The sequence below is a fragment of the Homo sapiens genome, chromosome 20 (assembly GCF_000001405.40).
Source record: "Homo sapiens chromosome 20, GRCh38.p14 Primary Assembly".
In the NCBI taxonomy this organism is placed as follows: domain Eukaryota; kingdom Metazoa; phylum Chordata; class Mammalia; order Primates; family Hominidae; genus Homo; species Homo sapiens.
In genome coordinates, this window is record NC_000020.11 from 17169153 (window position 1) to 17181349 (window position 12197).

Consider the following 12197-nt stretch of genomic DNA (forward strand, 5'->3'; position numbering starts at 1 on the left):
TTAATAGAGAGGCCTTCTCTAAACTTCTAACACAAAATAATCCCCTGCCGGCACTCTCTAGGCACATAGCCTGCTTTTTTTATTCTTAGCACTTAACACTACCTGATGTTCAGGCATCTTCTTTATTTGTTATCTGTCTCCTCCCATGAAATTTTAGCCTTTACGAGAGAAGAGACTGTTTTTGTTCACTGCTATTTCTCCAGCATTGAAGATAGTGTAGGTCCTCAACAACAAACATGTTGAATGGCTGTCTTACTAACCCATTCCCTTGTTGAATACTTCTACGCTAATGTTTTCAACCAAGTCCGAAGAACTTCTGAACGGACACATTTATAAATGTCTTAGGTAATAAAGGAACACGAAGAAGCTCAAAAATAATCTTATAAAAGCCCTTCTTTTTAAAGATGAGAATCTGAAACCCAGGGTGGGCTGAGTGAAGTCCCTAAGAACACACAGCTATTCATTGCACAGTTGCTTTGGCAAAAAAATAAAAACCCCGGCTGAAGCTGTTTACCAGCCTCACAAAGGAAGGCACCCATGCTGCATGTGAGCCTCTCCTGATTTCAATTGCATCTGGAAAGCTCTGAGCAGGAAGCAGGTGCAGCCAGCTGGCTTTGTTGTCTCACAGGCCAAAGCAATATATGGCCTTGACCTAAGCATGCTTTCAAAGAAGGGACTGTGGAAGCCGTAGAACAGAAGGTCTCCCTTCCCCTCCTCCTGTCTCTCATTATCTTTGACTACACAAATGGATTCAATAAATATCTGTCAAGTAAACAACTCCCAAGTCCCCGGAGCCAGAAGTGGGACAGCATGAGGGAACATGCCCGAGGGGCACAGATCCTCATGCCTGGTTTCTTTCTCCCAGTTTCTGTTCCTTCCCCACCTTCTTACTGCATATCCACACTCTCAAGAGGACAGTACGTTACAATGATAAATGATTCCCAACTTGTTTGATAGCAGAGCTCTGTTCTCAAGGAATCCCAATTAGAATCTCATGGATTTTTTCCAACACACTTTGAGAAATGCTGGCATAACATAGAATCGTAAAGTGTGAGGCAGTACTGGTTGGTCTTTTGTAGGATTCCCTCCATTTACAAGTGAGGGAACTGAGGTCTAGAGAGGTTTAGTGAAAAGCCAGAATCACCCATCCAGTTACCACAGAGCACACTCCATGTGTTGGCCTTTCTACTAACCCAGGCCACCTAGTTAATTATGCCAATGTTGATATCTGGTGAAGAATGAAATTCAATTGCATCATTCCCATACAATGCAATTCTTAAGTAAGGTACTTGTGTAGATAATTAAACCCTGCAAAGAGTTTATACGAATTTATTTAATAAAACACAACTTGTATAGTATACTTACATATATACACAATGCATGTTTATATATGTATATATGTATTATATATACATATATGTACATATATAATATATATACATACATACATGAAGATATCTCTGTGAAGCTTCAGATATATAAGGCATACAGAATAATATAAGAAACACTGTGCACAGACCATCCAGTTTAAGATGTAAAACATTCAAAATACTGGTGAATCCTTCTATTTAACCCACCTTAGAGCATTATGACTTTAATATGAATTTCCTAATTACCCTTAAGGTTGAATGCATTTTTGTATGTTCATTGACTATTCATGTTTCCTCTTCTAAAAATTCATAATGTAACTAGCCAATTTTTCTATTGGAGTGTTCATCTTTGTTAGAGTTCTTTATATTTTCTGGAAATGAATCCTGATCATATACACTGATTATATATATATTTATGTGTGTGTGTATATATATATACATATATATATATGATTTTTTTCCAGACTGTGGCTTGTCTTTTTAATTTCTCATTTTGGCCTACAAGAAACATAGGGTTCTAGTAAATTTAAATTTATTACTTTAAGTTTTGTGATTTTTAACTGTGAGAAATTCTTCCCTACTCAAAGTTCATAAAGATATTCTTCTATAGTTTCTTCAAAAAAACTTAATGATTTGCTGTTTATGTTCAGGTCTTTAATCCAACCTGGAATTTATATTTACAACACAGATTGTGAAGGAGGGATCCAAATTTATTTTTTTCATATAGTTAAGTAATGATCTCATCACTATTGAATATTTCATCCTTCCTCCATAGATTTGCAATGCCAGGTCTGCCATTTGTTGTTCCCATGTCTGCATGGACCTGTTTCTGAGTCCTCTCTTCTGTCCCATCATGTGGTCTCCTGAAGCCATAAAGCTGACAGCAGATCTGAGTTTTCTTTTTCCTAATACAAAATCACAAAAGCTGGGTTATGGGCCTGCAAGACCTTCTTTTACTATCCCCCTTTACTTGAGTGTACATTCATTAATTTCTACAATAAAGAGTTAAGCAAACAGGTAACTACATTAGTAAATTATCAAATGCATTGCTGTGTTGCAGTTGCTTATAGGTTATAGTGCTTGGGGCCTCCAAATCTCTGTTTTTTGGTTCTTCTCTTTGAAAGAAGGGTGTCTTCTTCTCATCCACCACCCATTGTCCTGGCTAACGACATTCAGCCCTAATGACTGACCCATTGGGAGCATTTGCTGACTGCCCTCAGGCTGTGCTGGCTGGTTGGCCTTTATCCATGTCTCCCTCCAACAAGGCTCTTATCCCAGTGTATCTTGGGCCTGGATTTTCCTGTCCATTTTTGCCTTTACACTGAGCTCCCTGAGAGTAGGAATGTTGTCATGTATATTTGTTTATCCATAATCTAGCAAATTATAGACAGTGGCGCCTTATGACTATTGGACAAAAGACAAACTGGATAAGTAAATAAATATGAGTAAATGCTTAAATATTCTGTTAGGACTCACGATAAGTCAATAGAAAAAAAATGAAGAAACAAGCAGGTTGCTGACTCATAAATTTGGCCCTTAAAGTCTAATCAGTGCTGGGATGATTCCAAATGCTAAGACCCAGATTCCATCAGCAGAAGGACTGGAAAAAGCCCATCCTAAAAAGTAGTGTGTCTGGGAATATCAGCCAAATATGTTAACTAATGCATGTGAAAGCATTTTGCAAACATAAAAGCCCTACACTCCTATACAAAGTAACGTAGCAAAACTATTATTAATGGCAACTTCTGGTAACTCTTACAATATTCCTCATTGCCTTTTGCATTTCGAAAACAGTAGCTTTTTAGAAATCCAAGCTGCATGGGAGAAATAATCAAGATCATTTCCTAAAAACATGAAGAAAAACAGAGTATGGATCTATCAACAAAGCAGACAGCGCAATTCAGCAAAGAGCTCAAAGATAATATGACCTGCATGCCCCACCTTGATGACAGTTTGAAATGCACTTAGGAAAAATGAAAACCTTTTAACAGCAGTACTGATTATTAGTGAAAGCATATAGATAGTGTCTGTTTTGAGTGGTGCAACATTTTCTTTTTGTTTTCTGGATCAAGCACAAGTAGTTTCATGTTACTGCTACAAGTTGTTTTCAGCAAGAGAGGAAAAAGCTTCCATGGAATAGGAGTCAGCAAGACGATTCTCTTCCCCATTCTACCACTTACTATTACATAATATCTCCTCTACTTTTCTTTTTTTTTTTTCCTTTTATTGCTCTGAAGAAGTAGCAAGATGCTAATTCCAACAGCACAAGGAAAACGACCTATAATCTTAAAAATTAAATACCAGGAAGTAATGACTAACGATTATCTTTACAGAGAAGAATCTGGAGCCCAGAAAGGTGAAGCGATTAGACACAAGATCACATGGCCAGTGAGCTGCAAGCTTTCCTGACCTTAAATCAAGTGATCTATCCCCTCCTCTGTGGATTTTTTAATTAATCTGCATTACAACCCAAGTAGAATGAGTCAAGCGGATAATATGTAATGCCTTTTTGGACCAGAAAAAAATTGGGGCAATTTGGTAATTGGACCACAGATGGCTTTGGTGATAAATTAGCAAAAGATTCCAGGCATTCTTGCTGCTGGATACCATGCATTAGATGGTGTCACCGCAGAAGCTTAAGACTAAATTTTCTACCCAGAAGATTCTGGGTAGAATTATTTTTCAGATAAAAATGCCTTTATTTACTTAGCACAGTATGAGACTACAGAAGGCAGTGAGGTGTGGCATGTGGTTTTATAAAAATTAATAAAAAGAGTGTCAGAGGAGAAGGAAAAGCAAAAACAGATGTGTAAGCGTGTATAATCAGAAAGGCATTATGTACATAATCCTAGCAGCTTTATTCAATGGTTTATTCCATCTCAGTAATCATGTTGGTAGATGAGCTAATTGCAAATTTGTTAAATATTCATAACCAACGATTTCTGCTAAGTGACAATGAACTGTCACAGTTGAAAGGATTACAGATCCTACTGTGACATGATTTCATAGGCCGCTTCCTGTCATTGCCCCCATATCCTATCGATCCACTTTCTACCTATGACACCGATATTAAAAAGTAGGGCAAAGTTGTCACAAGTGCCCAGGTATGGAGAAGCAGACAGCAAGCAATGGCCTGTCAGTTCGACAGCAAATGAAATACTGAGGCTAATGCCTGCAGGTTTCGAGCTCAAAGCTCTTCTCCAATGCCCAAGATTTTGCAAGTAGGCTTGAGGAATACATTGTTCAGAGATCTATTCCATTCTCAACTCCTTTATGTAAACACTGCCCTACTGAAGTAGAGAAACTAGAATAATGCTTAAAATTATTTTCACCAGTGAATTTCTTCTGACTCATAGAGCCTCGCTACTTAAAGTTGTGGTCTTTGGACCATGGGCATCAGCATCACCTGGAGTCTGTTAGACATGCAACATCGCAGGCCCCACTCCAGATCTGCTGCCTCAGGATCTGCATTGGAACAGGATTGGCATCCCCAGGTGACTATTATGCACTTTGAAGTATAGAGGAAAGCACTTCAACTTTTTCAAGAGAAACAGTATATTTTGTGACTGCAGATCACATGGGCATAGAAGTTTAGATGAAATAATCCAAAGACACGGGATTCTGATTTTTCAGGTGATCTGTTAATCCCTGAAGTGCATCTGGAGGTTAGCCCATCGGTTCTGCAAATCTTCATAATTTCCATAGTTACTGTAGTAACCATGGTTAGTATCTTTCCTTTGTCCAGCAGGTGGGAATTTCGGTCTTTTACTGCTCTCTGTCAGCTGTCATGACATGCCACATGAGTTGAGTTTATTCACAGGTTTTCCATGTGACCCAAAGTACATTTTGTAGGTTAATTTCTTGGAATTCTTACCTTTTGTTGGGCGGTTTCCTCATTCAGTCAGAATCTGCTTACATCTCCACAGACACTTCAATCTTTCTTATATACCTGCTCATTGACAAGCCTACATTTGCCAATATCTGGTTATTCTATTCATAAAACAGGTTTTTCATTTCACTCTTACATTTGCCATGACAGTCATGATTGATCAACTAATTCCTTGCCTGTGTACTCACAGTCATGTGATCAGTCACTCTTTATCAAACATCTAAGTGCCAGGTTCATTGCTCAGTACTGTACATATATTATCTCTAATTTTCTCAGCAAAACAGTATAATAAGTGCTGTTTCCTCCATATACAGATTAAAAAATAGTTTCAGAAAGCTTAAGTTATTTGCCCAAAGCCACACAGCAAATAAATAATGAAGTCTAGATTAAAATACAGGTGAGCCTGAGTCTAAACTGGTTTCGTCACACTCTCCTATTACTATTTGGCAATTTGCATCATTACAATCACAATTTTGCATTTGCACAACAACATTATTGATCCCTCCTAGATGTTATAAGCATTGATTTCAGATTATGTTATGTCCATACTTTTTATTTGAAAAAGAAATGGCAACAAATTAACCCATGTTCCAGTAAGGTCTCTTTAGATTGCAAGAAAGAGAAACTCACTTAAAGTAGCTTAAATAAAAAATAAGTGAAAATGTTCAGGGACAAGAAACCCACCTGGGCCCCATGGGGACCAAGGCAAGGAACATGGAGGATGGGAGCCATGAGCCAGAAACATCTCCCAGGGCCACAGTGTCTGTCTCCAACTTGTTCTCTGGTTGAGCCTTCCTGACTCACAGCTACACAGCACACCAGCCTCCTCTGGTTAGAAGAACACTCCCAACTGCAAGAAACAGCCTTTTTGTGTCCAAGTGGAAAGGGCCCCACTGTGAAAAGCCTCCTTTTCCACAGCCCACCCAAACCTGCTGAAGAGACCACAGTCCCTAATGAGAAGAAGTGAGACACAGAAGTGTTTTAACTTTTAGCAGACTCGATCCTTGCTTCATTAAAATATTATAAAACCCAGCACCAGAGAGCTATGGAGGAATATCTGGTCCTGTGGTCCTTCACCCCTGGGTCTAAATATCTGCATTTGATTCTTGCTGGGGTTCTCCCACAAAACCATGACTTTTCAAGCAGGAGAATTCTGGCCCAAGTTTCAAGATATTGTTGTAAAATTAATGTCTTATTGCCTTCTTTCTCAATAGTTGATGGCCCCCAACTGGTTATCTTGACCTTAGATTTGTATAATGAATCAGAAGTTTGTGAAAGAGAGATGCTTAGGCAGCTGAAATGTTCATGAAACTATACTTGTTATGCTTTCAGATCTACAGGTTCCAAGCATATCCTCCTAAATGTTGTAGCCCTCACAACTGGTCATTCTAGAACACTTCTGCTTAATTGTTTTGAACATAGCCGAGTGTGACCACCTGGCCAACTGTACACAACTCTTCAGGTCTGAAACCTGGCATCAGTCAAATTTCCCTCTGTGTTTTCTAATCCAATTATGGGAAGACCAAGCCTGGTCCTTCCTTGCGTCTGTCTCCATCCCTAGTCAATTACCTGTGTCTATGGGCATGTTTAACAAAATCCCTTAAAACGCTGTTTGTTAGAAGCCATGCAAACTTGAATATTTAATTCAGTCAACAATCATTCATTCATACATAAAATGAGCATTTACTCAAGGTATATTAATCTCAACAAAAAAATTACATAGACCTGGACCCTGCCATGAAATCCTGTGGACTTATGCAAGGCGGGAAGTGACATGGGGTCATGGAACAAACACATGTTTGGTAGTACAAAAAAGTGAACTGGGAGAATTATGTACAATAAGTGCATGTCAGTGTTAACACTGAATCTAGAAGCAGACTTGAAGGGGTCCAATGTAAAAACTCCTTTTTCTTTTTTTTAATTTGTAATATTTATGGAGTAAATGAGAAATTTGGTTACATGTATATAGTGCATAGTGGAAATTTTGTTTTCAAGCATAGTAGTTGGTTCCATTTCTATGTTACGAGACCACCAAGATGCATATTTGAATAGTGTATTGCTGTTCCCAGTATCAATATGTCAAATGCCTAACTGCAGAGATGAGTATCTGGTATCACAGATGAAACAGGCTGCTATAGATAAATGATGTTTATATCAATTTTTCATTAAAAGAAGTCTAAACACATGAGGATAAAGACATCTCAAAAATGTCTCATACACTTCTCTGCCTTCTAAAACATGACACATTAAATATTTGAAAACTGAGAGTCAATGTGCAAAAAATTGTACCTTGCTAAATTAAAATGATGACCTCAAGGGAAATAAAGAATTTGCTCCTTCACTGGGTTTGTTGTTACTATTGTTCTTTTTAAAATGGTTTCTATGCCTTTCCTTTTGTTGGGAGTTGTAACTTTCTTGCTGCTTTCATTGTCTTTATGCAGTTACTAGATTTGCCTCTTTCCACTTACAACTGGCTGCTTCTAATCTGCTAAGGGTGGAAATTAGGTCATAGGGACTGTTACAAACATGAGTAAAGTGAGGGATAAAAGACTCAGAATTAGGAACTCTGTGTTCTCTTGTAAATTAAAGGCAGGAGATTTAGATAATAAACATTCTCATATCTACTGTGGATATTCAAAATGCCTTTTGTATGCTCATTACAAGTTTCCAACTGTGTTCCAGCTAGAAGGTGTGAGGTACGTGATAGCTGTACTACTAAGGATTTGCCATGAAGTACAGTGATCTATAAAAGAATATTCCAGACAAGCAGTTCCTTACATCCACCTCCATGCCTGAAGAAGGGATGTTAGTCCATAGCTCTTAGAGCTGCAGCCTTGTGGAGAGGACAGTGCGGGCAGTGAGGGGGATCCCTTCCCATTGCAAGGGGGCTCTGTTCCTCCTGCCCCAAGGCAAGGCAGCGGTGTGAGCTTCTCTCAAGATTCAGGGAGATGGCATCGCATGCCTGAGTTGCAGTCTGGTCGTGCAGCAGATCTGTCACTTACTTACTAGAGCTGGGAAAGAACAGAATTGGAGAGAGATGAGAGGACAGAAGGGCAGTCTCCCTCCCACTGGTTGCTGTGTCAGCAAGAAGCAGATTTCCTATCAGTCAAGTGGACAGTAAAGAAAGTAACTGGTCTACAAGAAGGCTGCCGCCTGCAGTGTACAGCTACCAGTGGCAAGATCTGAGCAGGTACAGAGAAACTGAGCTGGGCAGGGAGCCCTGTGTGAAGGACAACACAGCAGGGGAGACGTAGACCATGTGGTGGACAACAAGGGCCAGTCAGTACTAGCAGCAGAAGTATTTTTTCTTGAACACGCACTGATTTTTTTATTCAGATCTTCAAACCCTTTGTTTTTAAATAAGAAACAAATCCACATGGTTTTAAATTTAAAAGTTTATAAAGGGAATAGTATGAAAAATAAGCCCTGCCTTCTACCCCATCCCCAACCATCCAGTTCCCCAAGCCCCCTCTCAATAGGCAAATACTGTCACTAACTTCTTGTGCATCTTTTCAGAAATATTCAAAACATCCTCAAGCATATGCATAATATAAGTAAGTATGTGGATATGGGGGAGTCTGTATTTTTTACCAGTGGTAGCATACTTCACACATGTTTAGTACTTTGCATTTTTTCATTTAAAGCAACATCTTGTCAACCTTTATGTATCAGAAATGACATAATATCCCATTTTATGGGTATGCCATAATTTATTTAATCAGCTCTCCATTGATGGGTATTTGGGTCATTTCCAGTCTTGAATTATGACAAACAATGCTGCCATGTATAACCTTGACGTGATAGGCTGAAAAATGATCCCCCAAAGATAATAGTCCCGATCCCTGGATCCTATGAATGTTACTGGATATGACAAAGATTTTGCAGTTGTGATTAAATTAAGGTTCTTGAGGTGAGGCAATTACTCTATATTACCCAGGTTGGCCCTATGCAATCACATGTATCCTTATAAGAGAGAGACAGAGGGGAATACATGGAAGAAGAAGATGTGGGAGCAGAGTGAGAAGAGATTTGAAGATGCTATTGCCTCAAGACCACAGATGCCAGAAACCCCCAGAAGTGGGAAGAGGCAAGGCACAGATTCTCCCCTAGAGTCTCCAGATGACGTGTGGCCATGCTGACACCTTGGTTTTGACCCAGTGATGCTAATTTCAGACTTCCATTTCATTCCATTTCATTCAAATATCCATTTGCATCCATTGCCATTTGTCTGTTGTGGTTTTGATACTTTGTCTAATCAATTTACAGGAATGGTCATGTGTTCAGGTAACTAACTCTTTGCATCTTAGTTGCAATTTGTTTTTTGTTTGTTTGGTGTCTTTTTTTTTTTGAGACGAAGCTTCCCTCTCATTTCCCAAGCTGGAATGCAGTGGCATGATCTCGGCTCACCACAACATCCACCTCCCGGGTTCAAGAGATTCACCTGCCTCAGCCTCTCAAGTATCTGAGATTACAGGTGTCCACGACAACGCCAGCGAACTTTTTGTATTTTTAGTAGAAATGGGGTTTCACCATGTTGGCCAGGCTGGTCTCGAACTCCTGACCACAGGTGATCCACCCACCTCGGCCTCCCAAAGTGCTGGGATTACAGGACAATTTGTTTTTATTTATCATTTGGCTTTTGACTTTGCTTGTCATAATTTTTACCACACAAGATTTTAAAATTTTTATGTAGTTAAATTAATACTTCATAGCTGCTAGCTGTGGGGTCATGATTTGAAAGTCTTCCCTACATCAAGATTTTAAGTATTTTTTCCTAATTATTCATGTTTTCAGTTTTCATATTTAAACCTTTGATGCTTTGAAAATTCATTTTGGTGTAAGATGTAAGAGGTGAATTAAATGTAATTGTTTTTCCACTCATCTATCCTGGTATCCTAATACTATTCAAAATGATTCATCTTTTTAACCTTTTTATGTATGAAATGTGTATATGTATTTGGATCTATTTCTAGACTTTCTCTTTGGCCAAAGGGATCTTTCTGTCTACACGTTTTCAAATAATAAAATAAATCATGCTGTAAAACGTGAATTCTGAGTTCCTGTGTGCTACTCTCACAGAAAGGAAACAAAAGAACTAGTGAACACTGACTCTGCAGCTGATCATCTGAGAAACCATGTCGGGATCCATCAAGGCAGTGGGGGACACAGCAGAGAGGAGCCACGCCGGGCAGCAGCTTGTATGAGCTCAGCACAGAGTGAGGAGAATTTCTCCGAATGAGTGAGTGAGTGAGTGACTGAGTGAGTGAGTGAGTGAATGAGTGCCCCTGGGGGATGCGTGCTCTCCACGGGGACTAGTGCAAGACTGGGAATGGGAGAATCCCCTGGCCCTTCCACAGCCCCCACCACCACACGGCTTCTAGACTGAGGCAGAGAGCCACCTAGACATTGTGCGGGGGTAACTCTCAAGACAAAAAGGGACCTCTACAAGCCTTGGGCCCCACAGCAGACCAGCACCAGCACCAAGCCCCAATAGAGGTCACAGTCATGGTACCCGGGAGCAGTAGGGTTGCTCTACCACCCCTCACTGAACAGGGCTTACTGCCAGGCTTCTGGTCCAGCAATCCTGCTTCTGCCTGAACTCAGCCAGCAGCTGCAGCTTCCTGCTGTCCTGGGAAGTATCCGGATGTCAAAGCAGGTGACTCCACCCACCCCTGTCACTGACAGCCAGACAGGCAATGCCTGCTAGCGTTGCTGGTCCAACCGTCCCACTTCTACCTGAACTCAACTGGCAGGCACAGCCTCTGTTGTCCTGGAAAACACCTAGACAGCAGGAAAGACCACCACACCCACCCTCAGCACTGGCAGCCAGGAGCACAATGCCTGCTAGAGCTTCCAGCCCAGCAGTCCTCTTTCTTCCTGAGTTTGCTAAGGGATGTAGCCTCCTGTTGCCCCAGAAACACCAGGATGGCAGGGCAGGTAACCCCACCCACCCCACCTCTCTTAGCCAGATAGGCAACACCTACTAGAGCCTTAAGCCCAGGGGTCCCACTTCTGCCTGAACTCTGCAGCAGGTGCAACCCCATGTTCCCTTGGGAAGCATTCAGACAGTAGATTAGGACCAACCTGGCTAGGATACAGCCTGTCTGCCAACTACACTCCTTGCCTGAGGAAGCCTTGTGGCCCAGAACACCCAACAAAAGAAACATGGGCACAGAGACAGTAATTGAATGGGGCACCTTCAAGACCCAGGAGCAGACTAGAATAAAAGCCAGTTGAGTGAACCCACCTTATACCACAATCAAATCCCCAAGGACATCCAAAACAATAAAAGCAAAAAAACAATCCAAAAGACAGCAACTTCAAAGACTGAAGGAACATCAGCCCACACAGATGAGAAAGAACCAGTGCAAGAAGTCAAGGAATTCAAAAAGCCAGAGAGTCTTCTTATTTCCAAACAACCACACTTGTTCCCAGCAATGGTCCTTAACCAAGCTGAAATGTTAGAAACAGAATTCAGATTATGGATAGGAATAAAGATCATTAACATTCAGGAGAAAGTTGAAACCCAATCCAAGGAATCTAAGGGGTACAATAAAATGACACAAGAGATAAAAGATAAAATGGCCATTTTAAGAAAGAACCAGATTAAACCAAGAGAGCTGAAAAATTAACTGAGAGTTGAAAAATTCACTTTAAGAGTTTCATAATACATTGCAAGTATTAACAGCAAAACTGGTGAAGCTGAGGAAATAATCTCAGAGCTTGAAGACTGGTCTCCAAAATAACTAAGTCAGAAAAAATAAAATAAAATAATAAAGAAGAATGAACAAAACCTCTGAGAAATATGGGATTATGTGAAAAGACCAAATTTATGACTCACTGGTGTTATTGAGAGGGAGAGAAAGCAAGCAACTTGGAAAGCATATTTGAAGATATTATACATGAAAATTTCCCCAATCTCACTAGAGAGGCCAACA

At 40.2% G+C, this 12197-nt stretch overlaps 1 long non-coding RNA gene across 1 annotated transcript in view, besides 1 other annotated feature; it reads left to right on the forward strand.

Moving 5' to 3' along the window:
- The window catches only part of LOC105372544 (uncharacterized), a 74761-nt gene that overhangs the window by 46975 nt on the left and 15589 nt on the right, over window positions 1-12197 (forward strand). Inside the window, exon 3 of the long non-coding RNA XR_937289.1 lies at window positions 4727-4864. This is a non-coding gene — a long non-coding RNA (uncharacterized LOC105372544). The remainder of the gene's footprint in view (window positions 1-4726; window positions 4865-12197) is intronic.
- Window positions 10350-10851: an enhancer, noted in NCBI's record as "H3K4me1 hESC enhancer chr20:17160147-17160648 (GRCh37/hg19 assembly coordinates)". NCBI's record gives its function as "activates a minimal SCP1, AML or CMV promoter by ChIP-STARR-seq in naive and primed H9 embryonic stem cells {active_cell/tissue: H9 hESC(naive and primed)}" and the evidence as "EXISTENCE:reporter gene assay evidence [ECO:0000049][PMID:30033119]".